Consider the following 22828-nt stretch of genomic DNA (forward strand, 5'->3'; position numbering starts at 1 on the left):
GAGGAAGGGCTATGGAATTTCACCACTTGGGCTTAAATCCTGGTAGTGCTACTTTCTAAAGATGTACCTTTGTGTACTTGATCTCTGTTTGCCTCATTAAGTGTGAATTCTTATTGTTACTATTGTTATGTCAATATTTCTGTGGAGGGCATTTGTTGAGAGCATCTCATTAGTGGTAAATGAAAGAGTATATTTGTGTTTGTAGCACTTTGGCCTGTAGGTGGGAAAGAAAGAATATTTCTATAAGCCTCAGAAATGGGGAGCAATATACACCAAAGGCCACAAGTCTATTTATAACTTGCCATTATTTTCACCCAAAGGTTCTTTAAGCATAAACCAATATTATTTGAAATATTAACATAGATTGTCGTTTCTCCGTTACTTGCCTTATAGCATTTTCTTTTTTGACTGTCATCTTGTTAAACCTCTTCGTCTTTTTTTATGTTACTGATTTCCTATGTGATTATAAAGCAATTTTCTATCATGTATAAACTCTTCTGACTAAAGGAACACTTTTTATAGCATCATTTTATAAAAGGAATACAAATGGATGAGTGAAGATCATGTGTAGATGTGATTCTGAGCCTGAATTCCTCAGCTTTTTTTCACTGGGGCTTAGCACTCCCTCAGGGACACACAAGTGGCCCATGGTTAACGGCAGTATCTGGCACAGCCAAGCCTGGGGTGACATTCTGGTCTCACCCATGAGTACCTAGCTGGTATCGTGAGCTTGGGTAAACTGGTTAACCTCTGTATGCTGCAGTTTTCTCATTTTTAAAATGAAGCTGGTATGAGCATCGGCTTTGAAAGAATGTTGTGAGTGTTCTGGTTATGATGCTTGTCAATCACTTAAAAGAATAACTGGCATATATTTCAATATAGGTGAGCCATAATTTTTGTCGTTATCATCGTTATGTGGATCAATAACCTGATGAATGTCCTTTGTTTACCATGAATACCACAGGAAGACATGAATCCTGATTTCAGGAAATTTACTGTCCACTTAGGGTTTTATAATTTGCATATGTAAGACAAACTTAAGGACATGAATAATACCAGTATCAACTTGACAGAATATACAATAGAGTATATAAGGGCTGATCAAAGTTACAAGAAGCTGATTGGAGAGGGGTTAACTGGGTGGGTTTTGACCCCCTCCTTGGTAGGGATACTAAAGAAAACAGCAAAAAACATTTCTGACAATTTCAGGCATATCCCACAGGTTTTCAACAATTATTTACTCCCAAATTCCAATTTCTTACCTTGTATCTGTTTTTCAGTACTACACATGTAGGACAAAAACTATTTAAAACAAATGAAAAATAAGCTTATAACCCGGAAGGGGAATGGAGATTAGAATGAAACTTTTGGAATGTGTTTCTTATCTAGAACTAAAATACAAGATAGGATAGAGGAATGGTGCATTCATTCCTTCAACAGATACTTATTGAGCACCTATTATGTATGCTGCATTGTTCTAAGCTTTTCAAATAGATCAGTGATGAAATGGAAAAAAATCTCTGCTGTCAAGGAGCTTACATTCTAATGGGGGAAATAAACAACATACTTGAAACTGGGCAAATTTCAAAAGAAAGAGGTTCAATGGACTCACAGTTCCACGTGGCTGCGGAGGCCTCACACTCATGGTGGAAGGTAACAGGCACATCTCACATGGTGGTAGACGAGAAGAATGAGGAACCAAGTGAGAGGGGTTTCCCCTTATGAAACCACCAGATCTTGTGAGACTTATTCACTACCACAAGAACAGTATGGAGGAAAATGCCCCTATGATTCAGTTATCTCCCACTGGGTACCCCCGACAATATGAGGGAATTATGGGAGCTACAATTCAAGAGGAGATTTGGGTGGGGACATAGACATAATAATGGATGAAGGGGAGTAACCCGAGATGGTTGCCATGGATTCTAGCTTGTGTCCCCAAATCAATAGCTGTGTTAGGTGAGGTAAAGACCATAGGAGTGCTGGGGACAGCAAGGAGAGAATAATGACTTTGATTTTATATGTTGTGGTGGGCAAAATTATGACTCCCAAATATGTTCACCCACTCCTCACTACAACTGTATGGGAACTATGGTGTTGATAGCAGTTATGGTGGTAGTAGTGATAATGATAGTATACTAACAATGAGAATAGCCATTTACTAAAATTCCTGATCCATTTCTTTGTGTCAGGCACTTTGCTAAGGATTTTACATCCATTACCTAGTTTCATACCAACCTTTGAGGCTGGTGGCCTATTTAGCATATTAAAAGAAAAACTCCAGGCCGGGCATGGTGGCTCACACCTGTAATCCCAGCACTTTGGGAGGCCGAGGCGGGTGGATCACAAGGTCAGGAGTTTGAGACCATCCTGCCCAATATGGTGAAACCCCGTCTCTACTAAAAATATGAAAATTAGCTGGTGACAGAGATGCGTGCCTGTAATCCCAGCTACTCGGGAGGCTGAGGCAGGAGAATCGCTTGAACCTGGGAGGCAGAGGTTGCAGCGAGTCAAGATCGTGCCACTGCACTCCAGCCTGGTGACAGAGCGAGACTCTGTCTCAAAAAAAAAAAAAAAAAAAAAAGGAAAACTTCAGACAAATTAAATTTAACAGAGTTTAATTGAACAAAGAACCAGTGGCAGTCCCTGAAACCAGGACAGGTTCAGTGAGAGTTTGGGGCTGCCCTGCGGCTGGATAATGTTTATAGATAAAACGGGATGCTCAAAAAACAGCAGTGAGGTACAGAGAAAGCTGGATTCATTCCACCATGGTGTTTGCCTTCTTTGAACAAGGTTTGAACAGTGTCCTCATGGTGAAAGGCACAGAAGCCAGGGTGCTGTCAAAACTGACCCGTAAGTTAAGTATCGCTCATGAGCCTGTTATTAGTTATAGCATATGTAACACTCACTTTTATTTCACAAGCATGATAATGAGCTATATTTTCATTTTGTTTTTAGTTTGCTTTTTGGGCATTTTTAATGAGAGAATATACATAATTATGGAAAATATCAAGATATAGTTTTAGATTTATAAGCAGGAACCAGAGCTCATTTCTGTGGTACACTTTCACATAACATGCCATTGGGTGGAAGGAGGTAAGTGCCCAGGATGGTTAGTGAAACTTCCTTAAAATTGATAAAGAGGTATATTTCATTTTTTAAAAGCTTTAATTCAGAAATTAAAGAAGTCTCTTCCTCGAGGATTTCCAAGTGCATTGCTGAATACTATATGATATACTATGATAATTTAAAAGTTGGTTATACTTTATCCTAACATTTGACCCATCAAGACATTTGTAAATATTGACGTCTTTGATTAACTCTTGCTTGCGTGAGGAAGAGTAAATTTCATTGCAGCCAATTTGGATTTGTAAGAAACTCAAAAATGTAATGATCCTCTGCATAAGATAATGTTTCAGAATTTTGGATTCATTGCACAATACATCAAATTCCGATAGGCAATTTTCAGAATTATCAATCATAAATCATTTTCAGACACCCAAATATAATTTTAATGTGCGAGATGTGTTTACAACATCATTTTGTATAGAAACTTGCCAGTTTTATCTAAGGAAACACTATGTTTGGAAATTTGTGCCATATTTTTAAAGTATAAGTTAAGTCTCTCTTCACAAGGTTTTTAATGAGGCACTGTTTTTTCACACAAATGATCTAGGTTTCTGTGGACGCTGCCCATGGTTACAGTCCCCGGGCCATTGACATGAGCAATGTTACACTATCTAGAGACCTGCATGTAAGTACTATTAACTTTTAAAAATAGTCTCCAAATTTAATTTTTAAGAAGCATAATGTAATGCTTTCCTGCATATATTTGGCAGCATGGTTTATTTGAATGTGGCGATCTATAATGGATCCATGGAATTTATAGATTATATACTCTAATTTTTTAATGCTATCAAAATTGATAGCTGGGTGTGGTGGCACGTGCCTATAGTCCCAGCTACTTGGGAAGCTGAGGCAGGAGAATCGCTTGGACCTGGGAGGCAGAGGTTGCAGTGAGCTGAGATCACACCACTGCACTCCAGCCTGAGTGACAGAGTGAGACTCCCTCTCAAAGAAAAAAAAAAAAGTTGATACAACTTTTTCTAGGGTGTTTCAGCCGTATAACATATTTTCCTTTAATAGCCATTTAAAAATCTCTATGTTAAATAGTTGTGTGTGAGAAGAAAGTAAATAGTTAATAATGCTCTGTGCAAGGGCCACCTTCTTTTAAGTTTTTCCAGAGACATTGATTGCATTTGCTTGCTCCATTCATAGTCTCATCTGTTCTTTTTTGTCACCAAGGAACCTACTTTGAAATAGCAGATTTGAAAGTAAGATAAAATTTATTGCCTTGAGACATAAAGTTAATAGGTCAATATGGTGTTCAAATAACATATTAGCATTGTTGGTAACTGTATTGTTCCAAGAGAAATAAGGACCGTAAATATAAAATTTACATATTGTTAAATTGTTTGGTTTGCCATTTGTTATTGCTCCCATATGAACGTATTAAAATGACACAGTAAACTTGAAAATCAAATGTAGAAAGAATCCGGGAGGTAATCTTATCAAAACCCAAAAGGTCACAGAAAGATTAACTTGGCTAGTCTAAGGTCTCTCACCTAGTTTGGACAGAGATTGATTTAGAAATCAAATCTTTGACTGTCCATCTAACATTCTCCATATTCAAGTTGCATAAGGTTTAGGTCATTTTTAAGGCTTTGGAAATTAAAACAAGAACTTGTAAATACAAATAGTTTTTCTGAAGTCCATAGCTATTTTGGTTTCATTATTGAATTAATGTCTTCAAACATTATGAATAACAATGACCATTTTCATTTGCTGTTTAGTTACTGTATAATATTGCAAATCCTTACAATTCTCTGGGATTCACATTCTAAAGAAGAGTGTTTGATATCTTTTAAATGTATCATAGCACTAATACTGTATGAGTTATTCCTTTACGGTATCTAATATTATATATTAGAAAGCAATATTATCCTTTTTTACTTATTGAAACGATAAATATTTTTGTTCATTTAAGGCTATGGCAGAAATGATGGCTGAAAACTACCATAATATATGGGCAAAGAAAAAGAAAATGGAGTTGGAGTCCAAAGGTAATATTTTCTAAAAACGTTTATTAAAAAATAATCTGAGCTCAATTCCATGAGTGTATGGATGAAGTCGTCTTCAGCACAACAGCTTATTATAACTTTTTAAAATCAGAACGGTTTAATTGTGCCTGTAACAGATTGAAGTTGGAAATGCTGTAATTTCCTAGTGGCTAGTATATATTTTCTTGTGTCTCAGAATTTTGACAGCTTTCTTTTACCCATTTTAGCTTACAGACTTCTGTACTTCTCATCCTGATATCTGAGTTGTTCTATGAATGACTTAGACTTCCCTCCCTGACTCTCTTCCCCAACTTAAATATCTCCTATCTCACCCCTTTTTATTTCCTATCTCAGCCTCTTTTGTCTGGTCCAGCTATGTTACTGTCTCTTACATGCTTTTGCTTGCACTTTTCCCGTTTTTTTATTCAAATACTAAATGAACTAATGTTCTCTTAGTTATTTCTCAAGTCTTTTAAAATTTATTTGCATATTTTCTTCAGTTTAACGTATGCTATGCTGATGATATCTTTCAACATTATTTATTTGCCGTTAGTCTATACACATATTGTTTATAATGTGGTGTCTGTGTGTGTGCGCGCATATGCGCTGTCGTTAATGACTTCCTATATGGTTTTCTTTCCCCTGATAGGAATATACTATTTTCGAGCTCAGGGCCACAACATTTATTTCTTTTGTAATCCTTATTGTATAGTTACAGGTGCCAATAAAGCTTCTACTTTTTATTTATTTGACTAGGTGAAAATGTAGAAGGGGAGAAGATTTTGAAAGTGGGGATATTTCATGGTGAAAGGTAAAGCTGTGATATGGAAGGATGGTACCTGGCACCAAGCACTAGGAAACAGAGTAACACAAATTAGGATTGGTCACAGAGAGGAAAAGAGAAGATTCCACATTTTATTTTTTATTTTTTTTATTTTTTATTGATCATTCTTGGGTGTTTCTCGCAGAGGGGGATTTGGCAGGGTCATAGGACAATAGTGGAGGGAAGGTCAGCAGATAAACAAGTGAACAAAGGTCTCTGGTTTTCCTAGGCAGAGGACCCTGCGGCCTTCCGCAGTGTTTGTGTCCCTGGGTACTTGAGATTAGGGAGTGGTGATGACTCTTAACGAGCATGCTGCCTTCAAGCATCTGTTTAACAAAGCACATCTTGCACCGTCCTTAATCCATTTAACCCTGAGTGGACACAATACATGTTTCAGAGAGCACAGGGTTGGGGGTAAGGTCACAGATCAACAGGATCCCAAGGCAGAAGAATTTTTCTTAGTACAGAACAAAATGAAAAGTCTCCCATGTATACTTCTTTCTACACAGACACGGCAACCATCTGATTTCTCAATCTTTTCCCCACCTTTCCCCCCTCTCTATTCCACAAAACCGCCATTGTCATCATGGCCCGTTCTCAATGAGCTGTTGGGTACACCTCCCAGACGGGGTGGTGGCCTGGCAGAGGGGCTCCTCACTTCCCAGTAGGGGCGGCCGGGCAGAGGCGCCCCTCACCTCCCGGACGGGGCGGCTGGCCGGGCGGGGGGCTGACCCCCCCCACCTCCCTCCCGCACGGGGCGGCTGCCGGGCGGAGGGGCTCCTCACTTCTCAGACGGGGCAGTTGCCAGGCAGAGGGTCTCCTCACTTCTCAGACGGGGCGGCCGGGCAGAGACGCTCCTCACATCCCAGACGGGGCGGCAGGGCAGAGGCGGTCCCCACATCTCAGAGGATGGGCGGCCGGGCAGAGACGCTCCTCACTTCCTAGATGTGATGGCGGCTGGGAAGAGGCGCTCCTCACTTCCTAGATGGGATGGCGGCCGGGCAGAGACGCTCCTCACTTTCCAGACTGGGCAGCCAGGCAGAGGGGCTCCTCACATCCCAGATGATGGGCGGCCAGGCAGAGACGCTCCTCACTTCCCAGACGGGGTGGCGGCCGGGCAGAGGCTGCAATCTCGGCATTTTGGGAGGCCAAGGCAGGCGGCTGGGAGGTGGAGGTTGTAGCGAGCCGAGATCACGCCACTGCACTCCAGCCTGGGCACCATTGAGCACTGAGTGAACGAGACTCCGTCTGCAATCCTGGCACCTCCAGAGGCCGAGGCTGGCGGATCACTTGCGGTTAGGGGCTGGAGACCGGCCTGGCCAACACAGCGAAACCCCGTCTCCACCAAAAAAATACGAAAACCAGTCAGGCGTGGCGGCGCGCGCCTGCAATCGCAGGCACTCGGCAGGCTGAGGCAGGAGAATCAGGCAGGGAGGTTGCAGTGAGCCGAGATGGCAGCTGTACAGTCCAGCTTCGGCTCGGCATCAGAGGGAGACCGTGGGGAGAGGGAGACTGTGGGGAGAGGGAGACTGGAGAGGGAGAGGGAGAGGGAGAGGGAGACGGGAGAGGGAGAGGGAGAGGGAGAAGATTCCACATTTTTAATTGCCTATTTCAAAATGCTGCTCAGGGATAATATGCCTGTATTCTAAAACCACCCCATAAATGTTTGTTAAATGAATGATTAATTCATTGTTTGGCTCATGGATGCATGGATGAATGGATGGATGGCAAATGAGTCATAGAGTTTTGTTTTGTGAAATTCTTGACAGGGTATTGCCCACATAACTGGTAAACAAAATCACTGCTTATTACATGAGCAGATTACATGAAAAAATGTCTGTTCCTTTTTTTAAACTATGTTTAAGTCACTGTGGTACAGTTAAATTAAAAATAATAAGCAGCTATCTTATTACAGGTTGATTATCCCTTATCCAAAATGTTTGGAACCAAAACTGTTTGAAAGTTGAGATTTTTTTCTGATTTTTTAAATATTTGCATATACTTACTGGTTCAGCATCCCAAATCCCAAATCCAAAAGCTTAAATGCTCCAATAAGTGTTTCCTTTGAGCATCATGTAGATACTCAAAAAGTTTCTGATTTTGGAACATTTGGATTTCAGATTTTTAGATTAGACCTATTCAACCTATATGCTTTTCTAAATAAGCATGATAGAAAATCATCATTATTTAAATTTCTGAGCCAGATCGATATTTTCTTTAAGTCATACCACTCGTAAATGGCACATCCATACTTCTGCATACAACTTGTACTGGCTCAAATTTGTATTCTGTAGTTGGGAAACTAACCTAGTGGCAGCAGACTAAGTGGTGAGGTAGGGGAAATTAGTCCTCGCAGTCTTTAATTCTCTTACTGCATGTATGGATCTCATTTTTAAAGAGGAACTAGTTTAGAACCAAAATGGCAGACCAGTAGGAAACGTGTTGAACTATACAGTCAGGATCCTGGCTTTTAGGTTATTGAGATTAGCAAACCAGAGAAATGAGTCTTGGGCATAGAAGATAGGTTACAGACTGTGGCCAGTTTCAGAGCAGAAACGACATGTGTCTTTTTTTCAAAGTTGTTTTCTCACTCAGAGACATTAATAGTGGGGAGGATCCTTATAGCCAACAGTTGTAGGCAGTTGCATCCTGCCAGCTCTACTCCCACTGCCGATAAGAGGTAGGTGGGAGGAATCTGTCACCACCTGATGTCTTGGTGCCTGGGTGTGTGTGTGTGTGTGCGTGTGTGTGTGTGTGTGTGCGTGTGAGAGAGAGAGAAATAGAAATAAGAAGTCAGAAACACTAAAAGAATCAGGGCCAAAGCTGCACAGTTTTGTTTTCACCCATTCTCTTCTCTTTTATCATCCCTGCATCTGTGCAGAGAAGATGAATCTGCTTTAGGGAAATCAGGAGAAAAATGCCTCCTTTGCTTGCCTTAGTCATCTGATCCTCAGTGCTCTTTTGGAATCTAGAAAAGTCTGAGGGAAAATCAGATGCCATAAGGAGTTAATAGAAATAAAGGAGTGTAAGTCCAAAAAGTATGATTAGTGCCCCCAAATTAGTAAAAAATGTTATTTTCCCACTGCCACTTCAAGTATTTTGTACCATGGTCATCTGTTGTTAAGCCACAGACAGCCCACTGCTGTCAAGCATTTTTTTACTGTTTAGTATGAATGGGTTCATGAGTCCGTGCTGGTATGTTTGGTAATATCCTCAGAGTTACTGCTCACTCATTTACCTCTCCATGTAGCTGATTTCCTTCAGCACAAGATGTCTACACCCATATCATAAATGGGAAAGTTGAGGGTGGAGGAGCAACGTAAATGTCCACGGTCACACTGCTAGTTAGAGGCACAGTGCTAGTTCAGTCACCTGGCAGGCTTTCAGATCCCTTCGCCATCTAGTTCAATGAAGGTCGAAGAGGGTGAGAAGAGTTTCAGAGTTAGTGGGTACTTTGCATTCTTAGGATTTTTAAATTATAGACCTCTTTAAAGCATCTTTCTCTTTCTCTCCCCACTTCCCCCACAGTAACTTATTGGTATGCGGCCCCAAAATCACTGATTACAAATTAAGTTGCCAAATTAATAGCATTCTCTGGGACTAAATGCAGTGATGGAGTTCAAACTAGGTGATGGTTGATTAAATTAGGGTGATGGAATTCAATCCTTGATTTTAAAAAGATTTTTGCTTTTATTTTTAACTGATACATAATTGTCTATATGAGGTACAGTGTGATATTTGCATACATGTATACAATGTGTAATGATCAAATCAGGGTAATTAGCCAACCCATCACCTCAAACATTTATATTTCTTTGTGTTGGGAGCATTCAAAAACTGCTCTTGTAGCTATTTGAAAATATATAATAAATTGTTGTTAATTATAGTATCCTTATAAAGTGTCCTGTTTAATTATATCTTTGATTAGGACAAAAGTCAAATTTGGTTTCTACTAAACTTAGTAACATATTCTATACCCTCTGCTGTTCACAAGTGTTTGTTATTATTGTCTTCTGACAACTGTTTGTGCTTGATATTATTAATATACTGTGAAGTACCTGAATTCCTTATTATGGTTAGTATTTGTTAGCTTGGTAGTTCTTGACCAGCACCTTCCATGTATGATAGCACAGTGTCACCTAATGGTATTAAAGTTCAGTGGGCGATTGCATGTCTGTAGATGGCGCTTTCAGTCAAAGCCAGCACTAGGGAAGCAGACATTTCCTCCTTTGCTTGCTTATTTATTGTGTAGGGCTAATTCAACATTTGTGATTGTTGCAGTAGCTCCTGGCTAAACTATATTGGAAACTGATTTCATAGGGTTATGTTGTTACAATTCAAACAATATTTATTCTCAATTATTCTTCCTGGAATTCCCTTAGCAGTTGTATTTCAGGGTAGTTGAGCCTCTCACACAATATATATTACCACACATGTTTTACGAATGTTAGATGTGAGGCATACCATGCTATTCGGTTTGCTGCTGTTTTAATAGCATTCTTTGTATCAGATCTTTACATCTGAAATTAACAGTTTAATTTTTTTATAATTTTTGCAAAATTTTAACCAAAATTTTTACATAATTTATAATTTTAGAAAGGTTTTTCTCCCTATTAGTTTTTTTAAATTTACATATTTTCTAGAATTTTTAAATCTGAAAGAAAGACTACTTTTAGTAAGTATTATCAGGATAAGTATACTAGGAATCTAGACTCTTGCTAAAATGTACTTGCCCACGTGGTTTAAAGTCAAGTATTAGACACTTAAGAGTGATCCACTTTTAATGTAGCACATCTACATATGGTTTTGTGTATTTATAAATAATGTGACTATGAAGTACTCTCTGATCTGAGAGATATAATACAAATTCCATATTTAAGACTTTTTCTCTTCTCTCTGTGCGACAGCAGATGAAGCATAACCCCTGAAACATGCCTTATAACTTTTCTAAATCCAGCTAAGTATGATTTAGCATTTGTTTCTACTCTCCACATTCAGAATTGCTTTGAACGCAGAAGAGAATACAGCTGCTTCCCTCTCATTGGCGAGTGCAGATATTATTGTCACTTAGTATTACAAATGCATGCATGTTCATGTTTTAACTGCCTCTTAGAAGGCATATGCACAGTCTTTCTGTGAGTAGTTTTTCTGAATTAATTGAAACATTAAAGGCAGTAGAGGCAGAAGAGTCTTATATGCTCTATGTATTATTAAAGGATATGGAAAGTTTTATAGTGTGGTCCAATTATATATCTGTGTCTCATCTCAGATTCTTTTCAAATTACTATGCTGTGTTCTTGTCCTGACATACTCTTAGGAGGAGGAAACCATCCTCTGCTGGTGCCCTATGATACACTGACAGCCAAAGAGAAAGCCAAGGATAGAGAAAAAGCACAGGACATCCTCAAGTTCTTGCAGATCAATGGATATGCTGTATCCAGGTAAAAGTACACATACCCTAAGTACACACTCTTTTCACAAGAGTGAATATTTAAATATCTCCATCATATTTAAAGCTGAAAATGAATTCAATGATCTGTTTACACTTTTGAGGTACTGTTTAATATGTTTAAAATACACACATCAGAAACATTAACACCCCTAGCTGTGTACCATATAACTGAGTTCCTTTTGCTACATATATTAAATCAGCATCCATCATTTAGGCAAAATCCCCAGGCAAAAAATCACACTCTGTTTTTGTAAATGCAACACTTCGTTGCATAGTAAGAGAGTCACTCACTGAAGCTTTATATCATATGCAAAATATTCTTTATAGGTTAAATCTTACTTTTTCTTTGAGCTACAATAACATTAGAAAAACTTCAAAATTTATATATATAGATAAACATATATGTATGTATATACACATATATATATACACACACACAATTTTACCTTCTAAGAGGCTTTGTACAAATTGCTTTCCCATTTTCATTTTTGCTCTTCCAGAGGATTTAAGGACCTGGAACTGGACACGCCTTCTATTGAGAAACGATTTGCCTATAGTTTCCTCCAACAACTCATTCGCTATGTGGATGAAGCCCATCAGTATATCCTGGAGTTTGGTAGGTACCATAGTCCCATTGCTAATAGCCCAGTGTTTGTTGTTTTTAATGTTTACAACATCAGGATATAGAACAACACAGGCTGCTGAGCTATTTGTGATGGTATAAACCCATCTATTCATCCTACTACTAAGTAGAGTTCAACGGTCAATGGATGAACAAGTTCTTGGGGAGTGGGTAAAATCTGTGAACTTTTAAAAATCTAACATATAAGTTATTCCCCTTATAATGTTTATTGGCATTTATTTGTTTTCATTTTGAAAGATACATTGGAAGGACATCAGAATTTGAAGGTAGAGTTAAATCTCGCCTATGAAATCAGTTGCTCTACTCATAAGAAAAACTTCCAAAACTATGGATTTTCAAAATTTCTAAACACTATAGAGGTCTTGAGTTTAGCCTTTGCAGGGAAACACGTTAATACTAGAGTAACTGCTGTGCAGAATACTTTATTATTGCTCTTAGGGTACAATGAAAGACCTCTTCCCCGTCTGGCCCAGTGCTGTCTCAAAATTTTTAAAACCTCATTCTTTAAGTCTTAGATTCAGCACAGATGATGAAAGCAGCCTCCGGTCACTTCTGTTATTTTGTGGTCCTCCCACATTGTTGAATTAAAATTCGACTTGTTAATTTCTTACCTTAATGTCAGAGCACCTTCCAGCCACTGCGTAGTAATACGATGTAAGGAATTCCAGTTTGTTCCCTTTTGAAAATAGTGTGCTTTTCTGGTGGTTATTCATTTATTTTCATTTTCGTTCTCGACGTTTTCTCTTTGTTTTTAACACTCACTCCTTTTGTCATTCAACACCTTTCCTCTGGGACCATTCATCTTGGATCCCTTAGCTGCTGTTTGTCTTAGGATGTAAATCTAGTTTCTGCCATAGCATCAGATTAAAGTTTGTAGAAATTAGAGCTCTGGTATTTTCTTCTTTCTGGCCTCTTGTATCCTAAATGTGATTAAAGATTTTCCAATTGAGCATCTTTCTCATAAACAATTGACTTCTCTTTCAGCCTGCCTCTACAGTTCAAATACTATATTATTGCTCTCTTTGAGCCCTTCTTTTTCTTAAAAGCTTACACTACAAGCTAATTTATAATCTGTAATCTCTCTATGACTCATATAACTAACAATTTTTAAAAATATGATTCCTGACTTATCCTGATACGTAGCCAAATTAATCTGAATTAATGAAATTTAACCGAAGAACAAAAATGAGGTAGGGGTGAATTATTGAAGCTTTTACACACAAAGCTAAATATTGCAATTTCTGATCTACATTTGAAAGGATCCGATATGCGTAGCAACTCCAATATCCAGTCTTGTTTTTGGAGAAACAAGGGACAGGAGAGAAAGAAAGAGTCATCATTTGGAGAAAGGAACAAGAAAGTCATTTGTTTTTTACTTTCACATTGGAGAACACAAACACCAATATGAAGGGAAGAAATGTATTTAGGTATTATTCACAGTTTATTCAAATTTCTGAATAAACTACCTACTACAGTTTTCTTGTATGGGGGTGGGGAGAATCTTGCTCCAGGGTACATCTACCCACTTGACACATTTCATTCTATCCACAGGGTAGAGGGCCTTATAAACAGAGCACAGGAGAGAAAGTAGGCTACAATGACAGAGCCCAGCCAAATAACCTTTTTCACAACTCCTGATGTTGTGTGTACCGTTTTCAGATGGCTTGGCCAGGGCAAATTAGGTACAAGAACTCTGTTAGAGGAGCAGATAGAGCTGTGATTGTCAATATCGTGTTTATTTTAATTTCCATCTTTCATTGTTATCGCAAGTGAAACTGCTATATTGCCTTCTCCCTTTATCCTTCACTTTGGAGATTTTGCAGCATATCTCTAATGTAGCCATTCCTAGACCTAAGTTAATTGTGGTAGTAAAAATATGCATATGCCTTTTTCTAATTGTTGTATAATACCGTAGATTGTAATCTCTCCACATCTTTTTCACATTTTGCACAGAAGCATTTTTTTTAAATGTAGTAAAAGACATTTCCTATTTAATTCATTGAAATATGAGCAGATTTGGCTGTGTTCAAAATTTTCTCTTGACATAACTTCATATGAGAAAGTCTCTTATATGAATCCAGCCATTTTGCATAATGTGCTTAAGAGAGATTCAAATGCCAAAGTGCCATGCAAATGAAATTTGCAAGTGTTAAAAAACCATAATTTTCTTTTACTTGTTCATGGGGAGAGCATTCTGATATTGCAAAATAATTGCATAAGTTTCCTATAAATTATATTGTATTTTTGTCTAAAATTTGATAAACTATTATCTCAAGTTATTATTATTATATTATTTTGCAAAATAACTTCTTCAAGCAAAAGTCAGCTTGGCTCTTGAATATCTGGAAGCTCTGCTTACAAATTTTACTAAAACCTGATAGCTCTCCAATATGTTCTGCATGCCATCGTTGTTATTATAGTTGATTATTACCTCGTCTATTAATATATGCATGAACCTTTTCCATATGCATGAAGGAGGTGAGAAAGGCCACCTTCTAAGCTAAATGAATTAGGTTAATCAATTCTTGACCTTGGTAAACCATGGGGAAAACTTGGGTGTTTTTGCTTCACTTATGAAAATTATCTTTTGACATAGGTCAAAATTTCTTTATGCTTTAGTGGAATGCTAATTTGCCAACCTAATATTAAAATTGCTGTCCTCCTCCTCATCCCAGATCCTGACTTCCTGCAGTTTTTTAGTTTGTGTCTTAAATTGAGAAGCTTTAACTTTCGGTCACACGAAGAGGCAATCTTTATTATTAGAGGCCAGGGTTAATATCTAGCCAATTATGTTTATTCAATTTACACTCACTGTCCTCTTCCCCAGTGAGCTTCTTTTCTTAAAGGCTACTGAAAATGTGGGACTTTTACTCTATTCTATTCCATTTTCCCCTCTCTATGTCAATAAGATCTCAAAGCTACACAAATGTGTTTGTGTCTCTAACCACAACTATGGGCTGTCCTCAATAGCTTTTTAAATTTAGATTTGGGTATTAAACATCCTTTTATTTTTAATGACACTGCCAAAGTTTGCCTTTATATTTTTGGTTGGCTTTTTACATTCAGTTTAGCGGGATAATACATTTAGCAATGCTTTCTAACCTTTGCATTATGGATGAATATCTTGCAATGTTTCCAGTGCAGCATTTACCTAAAAACTCTTCAAATCTACAGATGGTGGCAGCAGAGGCAAAGGAGAACATTTCCCTTATGAACAAGAAATCAAGTTCTTTGCAAAAGTACAGTATACAATCTATCTTGTTTTTGCTTCAATATGTTTGTTTACATACCCTACTCATTAGATCGTTGCCCTTTTCAGAACATACTTGTCTACAAATGTGTATTTTACTGCACGTAAATATTCTGTGGCATGAAAATAACTGCATGAATCATCTTCCCAGCATTCTTGGTCAGACTTTAACTCTGCATTCCCTACCGCATTCCTTCTTCAAATGACTTCATTCTATCTGAGGTTTAATTAGGTCTGCATTTTTTTTGTTTTATCATATGATATGGAATAAAAAATATCTATTTCTTAACATTTGGATATTGTTATGATTTAAAATTTCTAGTTGAGAATTTCTTTTATAAATAGGAAAGTCTGAGTTAATTCATAAATAGGCACATTATAAGAACATTTAGTACAGAATATTGTGGGACCTTAGTCCTGCTCATTTTATGGAAGATCAGAGAGGATAAATTGTTTATATACAAAATATATCCCATTGGTATTATTTATTTTGTTTCATAAGCATTTATCAGGAATTTGCTATATTACTGGAAAATTCATCACTTTTTTCAGCCAAAAAGGGATGGACATGAAGAGTTGTAAAGTCTCCGAATGATTTAATGCATTTACTTAGTATTTACTGTGTGTCTAGTGTGGGTCAGGCATTAGGGTATGGCCCAGGGATGGCCATGAATATACAAATGCCCCTGGGTAAGCTTTCTTGTTTAGGACACCTTGCAGTGAGCCTGAAGACCTAATTACTGCTGTCTGCTTCCTTTTAAAGTACTTGCATTCAGCGATTACAGATAATTTGCTATAAATACAACTTTTGTGGACTTTAAAATAGCATGCTTTTTGATTGATGAATATTTGACTTGTAGTATGTTTTCAAAATTGTGTTCTTTACTGTAAAACACATTTCTGTTGTCTTTTCTTCCCATTCAATATAGCACTCAGAGTCTGTTCCAATCATTTGAAGATCCAAAGTTTGTCCTGGGGTGCACATAGTTAGCGATTCATGAATTGATAGATCCATATATATATCTCCGGTCTCTGTGAGATTGTAATCTTTCTTGATAGCCAATTATCAGAATGCTGTATTCGCAGCCTCTAATTTTCCCTTTAAAATACATTCTTGTGTTGCCCGTATACTCAGCACCCCCGGTGCATCTGTTTACAGATGCTTAATGTGGCTTAATTTCTACTAAGTCTATAATTCATTCGTTTACCATATTGAGTACCTACTATGTTCCAGTCACTAAATTCAAGCAATGTCCCAATTGTCAAGGAAGAGCAATAAAAACTGGTGTAGTCCCCATTATATATAGCTGTGCTCTACCACATGGTAGGAAAAAGAAGTATGTTTAGATAGACATGAGTTTGAATACTGGTAGTGCCGATCTTGTTCTTGCTATGGGCCCGTCACAGTCCTTAGCACTAGGGATTCAGTGACAAACAGAAGAGACCAGTTAATAGTTCTGGAGGCCAGGAAAGGGCTATAATGGGAAACAAACCCAGAAATGTTTCTTGTTTTTGTGTAACTCATAGGCTCCTGGAAAGAGAGACTTTAATCCAAAGTCCCACGCATACAATGTAAAATTGCAAATGATGTTATCAGAGCTCAGAATGTGGGACTTTATCTAGTTGAGATCAGCAAAGACTTAGCCGGCAAATTGCCACTGAGTTGAGATCTACAGGAGGACCAGAGTGAATAGGATATGGAGTATGGGAAGAGCACGCCAGACAGAGGGAATGGCGTGTACGAGGCCAGGTGATGTGAGTGGACAGAGTGAGGAGGAGGAATTGGCCCAAGGCCAGCAGGATGAAACATGCGTAGAAATGGAAAGTGCACTTTAAGAAAGGCCAGGTTAAAAGAATATTGTGTAGGCAACTAAGTAGCAATGTGACCTTCGGTAAGTCACACATTTCTATGTCTCCATTTAATACCCATAATGCAGGGATGATGGCATCTACCCTACAGAGCAGTTGCTATTATCAGTTGCAATGTTCACACATAGTAGAGACTCAACATATGGTAGTTATGGATTATTTTGGGGTCTGCTGGGCACTGAACTATGTTATATGAAAACATTGAGAATATTTCATTTTGAGAAAATAGTGAGAATAATTCCAAACTGTTGCAAGTTTGCTCTGTTCACCATAATCACATCCTGCCACTGTGGCTGGAGACGGTAGAGTGAGATTTAAGAGAGGCATACTATGACGTGCCTGGCATGGACATAAGGAGACCTGTTGCATGTGAACAGAACTCTGACTGCTCCAAAGCCTCAGCTCCCATTCATCCCCTGAAAGATTCCACTACGTAGATCTGTCTTCTTTTCCTTTCTTTCAGGTCGTTCTTCCTTTAATTGATCAGTATTTCAAAAACCATCGTTTATACTTCTTATCTGCAGCAAGCAGACCTCTCTGCTCTGGAGGACATGCTTCCAACAAAGAGAAAGAAATGGTGACTAGGTAAACAGCTATAAAAATAAGCACTGTTGTATGACTTAGGTGTATATGCAGTTGCAAAGAAAACCTGAGGACCTTGAAGTGGGGCTGTACGGAGAGTATCTGCCCATTTCCCTGGTCCGTGTCTTCATGGAAACAAATACTAGACAAAAACAGTTTCTACAAGTTTGGATATGTGTTCTAGATGTTGAGTTTCTTTATATTTTGCTGCTAAGTGTAATGGTGGATAGAAGGATAAAATATCACTCATTTCACAATCTACACATAGAGGCCGGATATGCATCACCCTATTAGTATTTGTGATAAATGGTACTTTTGACATTAGTTTCTTTAATGTTTCCACAAATCTGATATTTTTGCCAGCATTTATTGTTCAGAAGAAAACCCCACATATACAAATTTAATTTAAAAATAATGACCAATGTTGGAAGAAAATGAAGTAAAGATACCTATAAAATTTCTGAAGCTTTCCCCTCTTAACAATGCTTTCTCATTTCTGTTTAAACCAAAGGGTTCTTTATGGACTCAGTTGTGATTCTGCTGGGGATATCAGGTCCTTTTACTCAAACTTCTGCTAGAATTTAATATACATGAGAATCAATTACAGAGCAAGTTTACTTCTCTAATATTACATTGCCCAAAAGTCCATACCAAGCTTTTAGATTGTATCGGAACAAAATTTCTATAAAAGTGAATACACAGTATAAAGCAGAACACTGGAGAAAATACAGACTTTCCTTGGACTTGACGTCGATGCTGTGCTGAAAGGCAGTACGGTCTCCACCTATTAGACAGAGTGAGATGAGATTGCATACAGCCTCCGTGAGAGGGTGGAGAAGTGGAAAGATTCCTGCACTACGTAACACTGGGGAATGCAGCTGGAGTGGAATTGTCAGTTCATCTCTTTCACTTATTGTCTATTTTACCAAGTAGCAAGTGGCCAGTCATGTGATATGGGATTGCAACAGTATAAAACATGTCCTCAAACTTCTTCAAATGATAATTTTCCTATAAAATTGATTATAGTTAAAATAACAGCAGGAATCCATCCCAGCGGCGTGCTTTGTTTCCACAAATTGCTGCCACATGGAGAGAGGCAATGCAGTTACTTTCCAAGATGTGAATTTCCACCCCTTCCCACTTGAACATGGCCTTCCTTCCCACCTTCACTGGGAGGGAGAGCAGCTCCTCCCTCATCATTTCATAAGCACCACATCCAGTACTCTGGGCCAGTATCCCCCTGTGGATTGTGAGTGCACGCAAGTAGCTAGAATATCTCAAGGCACCAAGTTACCCTTAAACGTCGTGAAATTGAGGACACGTTGAAGTCTCCTACTCCTCCCTGGGTCTGTTAGCCTTTTTAAATAGGAACTTTGTTCTCAGAGGGTGTTGTTAATCTAGCTATCACTTAGTTACATAAAGATAAAATCAGAAAATAGAGAAAAATTCAAATAAATCAATGCAAATTCTGCTATTTTCCTCCTCTCCTGTCTTGTGTTTTATTATCTCCATTCAGTTTCAGCCTTACCCTTAGAACTATTCACTGAGCCCATACTATGCATATATCGAAGCATCCAATTGTGTGTTTTGGGTATATATGATCTGTATTTGTTAATTATACCTCTATAAAGCTGGAAAAATTTCATGGAACTATACACCAAAAAAGAAAATTGGCCCATTTACCTTGGCCAATTCTGTATCCCTCATAGAATAAATCAGAGGTACATCGCTATTTTGTGCTAGCCTCAGTTGATGTCCCTTTGGGGCTCTAGACTAACCCTAGACCACCCCTCTCTCTAATGACACTGCACCAGAATATCTTTAATTATAGTCATGCACCACATAACAACATTTCAATTAATTTTGGACCACATGTATGATAGTGGCCCCATACTATATTTTTACTAATTTTTTTAGATATGTTTAGATATACAAATACCATTTTGTTACAGTTGCCTACAGTATTCGGTACAGTAACATGCTGCACAAGTATGTAGCCTGGAGCAATAGGCTATACCATTTAGGTTTGTGTAAGTACATTCTATGATGTACTTATATCATGGTCTTATGGGAATAACAGTGAAATTGCCTAATGAGGTATTTCTCAGACTGAATCCCCATCATTAAATGATGCATGACTGTATTTCATCTTCAGTTTTTCTTCTACTAATAGAAAAAGCGTTGGTAAATTTTACTTCTCCCATTGGTATTTCCCAAAAAAAGGAGCATGTGCCATTTAAAATTCCAACACATAGAAAATGAGGTGCATAATAAAAGTAACTTATGTTATTACAGTACTTTAGTGCCAAACATAGCTAGAATTTAACCTCAGAGAGAAAGAAAATCATAGAGGAAAATATGAATAAGGAAATGATAAATGATGGTGCATGTCTGTACAAAATGCTGTGCAGTCATTAACATTATGATGGAGATGAGTATAATACTTTCGGAAAATGATCATGATAAAATATAAAATATATGCTCAAATAGTATTAACTTTTAAAGGGAACTTAATTTGTATGTATAGAAAAATATTGGTAGGGTATAAACTCAATAGATAGAAAACTGGCCCTGCCACTATGAATAAATAAGCATGTCTTCATTCGCATGATAAACACTATGATAATGGTTTTAAGTGTTTAACAGACGTGAGTAGCAATAGTTGTGTGGGTTTGAGTTAACTTTTCCACAATTAAAACCAATGTTTCCATGAGATGTTTAGATACTTCCTGGCACAAGAAATTATTATATACTGAGCATTTGCTGTATCGAAGGTCAGTACTGTCGTGTCTGGAGTATACTTTGCAGTAGCTAAATACGTGAATATGAGTATAGCCCTAGTGAAAGCCAGGCAGTAAGATGGGATTCAAAGTAAAGTAAGACCACCTTGGGTGGATATAGAGGGGCGAGAGATTTATGGAAATCAAGCCAGTCAAAGTTGATCTTGAACAACTTGTAGGTCAGAGATTAACAAAGGAACATATTTTCTAAATGTAGATAACTACATAAATAAAATGTAGAAGCTGGTAATTTAGGGGAAAGGTAGGTTATATAGATGGTAATGGATATTAACTGTCAGAATCAGGAATTTTCTTCTTAAAATTCTATCACAATTTTTTTAACCTAATTCATTAATACTAAGAAGCTATTAAAGCTTTTTATGTGAAAGAATGATCAGAGCTTCCCTCTGAGAAATACAGTCTGGCAGCAAAGGTATGATTGATGAGAGTGGGAGAGTTGGGAGGCCATGGCAGGCACCTGGAGGCCAAGACAGCAACCCAGGCTATAGTGTTGGAAGTGCTGCCTCAAATAGGTGGTGCTGCCCACTGATCCATTTAGCAGGTGGGTCTTTTTCTTCTTCTTCTTCTTTTGAGGTAGAGTCTCACTCTGTCGCCCAGGCTGGAGTCCAGTGGCATGATCTCGGCTCACTGCAACCTCCGCCTCCCAGGTTCAAGCAATTCTCCTGCCTCAGCCTCCTGAGTAGCTGGGATTACAGGCACCCACCACCATGCCCGGCTAATTTTTTTTTTTTATTATTTTTAGTAGAGATAGGGTTTCACCATGTTGGCCAGGCTGGTCTTGAACTCCTGACCTCAGGTGATCCGCCCACTTCTGCCTCCCAAAGTGCTGGGATTACAAGCATGAACCACCGTGCCCGGCCTCGTTCAGATATTTCTGAATGCCACCTATGTACGGCAAGCTGTCTGAGGCCTGAAGATAAACACACACACACACAATAACACAGTTCCTAACTTTAATAAATTTAGAACTACAGCCAAGTAGACACGTACATATAGAGCTAACTCTACAGGAAGTTGTGATGAGTGTCAGTGGAGACATCTACAGAGTGCTGGGAATATAGAAGAGATGTAAACAGCAGCTGGGGTGAGAAACAGGGAAGAGAGAAAGTCAACATGACTTGGCGATGAGTAATATGGCAAGTAGAAAAAGGTCCAACTTGGTGCTGAAATTTCAACTCTGGGTAGTTGGAACATTGTTGGTATCATGAATAGAAACAACATATTTCAGAAAAAGAATCGTTTCGAAGAAGAGGTTACATTTGGTCAGGTATTTATCGGAGTATAAGGTACCCGCAGGTCATTCAGTTGGAGAAATCCAGCAGATTGGAAATATTAGCATGTGGGGTTAATTGAGAGATTAGAGCAAGAAATGACATATTTGGGGATTATCTGAACACATATATATATATATATAATGCTTGAAGCTCCGAGGAAGTAGATAAAACTGAAGGAGAGTAGAGAAAGAGGCAAAAGGTTTTGAATACCCTGGAGAATTATTACATTTACAGGGTTTTTGGAAATAGGTCTTTGAAGAACATCAAGAATGGTTAATTAGAGAGAAAAAAAAAAATACTGTAAACAAAATCCAAGGAAGGTAAGAGTTTCACGATTTAAGTAATAAACAATGCCAAGTACTGTTGACAGAACTCCAAAAAAGAAAAGGTTATTATCTTTGCTCATTAGGGGCATTGGTGAGCTGCAAAGGAGTGTTTTAGTACAAGACAATGAGTAAATGCTGAAGAAGTAGATGCCTTATAAATTCTGGAGAATGTTGGAAATGAGGGGAAGCAGAGAAAGGGGACAACAGTATTATAGAAAATATTTTTTAGAGAAAATATAGGCTAAAGCTTATAATAATTAATCCTTATAGTTTCTATGAATACCATGCCCTAAAAGTGGATTGCACAGGAGGGGAAAGAGTTACAATTTGCCCTCTTTGAGGACCTTGCCTTCTGTATCTGTATTTCTCTCTGGTGGCACATGTGGTGAGGAATCAGCAGAGATTGTCAAGTCCTTTTTCTCTGACAGATTTTCAGGCATTACATATAATTTGATAAATGAGACATAGAGCAGTCTGCCATTATAGCAAAACATCCTAGGTTTGGATTAATTGAGTAAGACCTAATCCTAGCATTATAAATTCTGGATCATCAAGAATATCTCAGAATGTTTCACTCTGGATACTAGAGAGGAATAGGTAAAATACATGACTTAAAATAGATTGGAGTACAGGGATCCAAAGTATGTACAATTCTAAACTGAATTATTCTCTTTAGAAAAAGGCAGAC

The 22828-nt window shown here is 38.1% G+C and overlaps 1 protein-coding gene across 17 annotated transcripts in view; it reads left to right on the forward strand.

The window, feature by feature from the left end:
- The window catches only part of RYR2 (ryanodine receptor 2), a 791805-nt gene that overhangs the window by 620652 nt on the left and 148325 nt on the right, over positions 1-22828 (forward strand). For 11 of the 17 annotated variants that reach the window (XR_007062490.1, XM_006711802.4, XM_006711804.4 and 8 more), the window contains 6 exons: positions 3677-3754; positions 5048-5123; positions 11261-11384; positions 11896-12011; positions 15213-15277; positions 17621-17742. Coding sequence is in view for 16 of the 17 variants with exons in the window: in XM_006711802.4 (XP_006711865.1) it covers positions 3677-3754; positions 5048-5123; positions 11261-11384; positions 11896-12011; positions 15213-15277; positions 17621-17742 (581 nt within the window). In the remaining variant the exon portion in view is untranslated. The remainder of the gene's footprint in view (positions 1-3676; positions 3755-5047; positions 5124-11260; positions 11385-11895; positions 12012-15212; positions 15278-17620; positions 17743-22828) is intronic. The other 6 variants (XM_006711808.4, XM_047427333.1, XM_047427336.1 and 3 more) reach the window with 1 other exon arrangement.

Source organism: Homo sapiens, chromosome 1, assembly GCF_000001405.40.
Source record: "Homo sapiens chromosome 1, GRCh38.p14 Primary Assembly".
Classification (NCBI taxonomy): domain Eukaryota; kingdom Metazoa; phylum Chordata; class Mammalia; order Primates; family Hominidae; genus Homo; species Homo sapiens.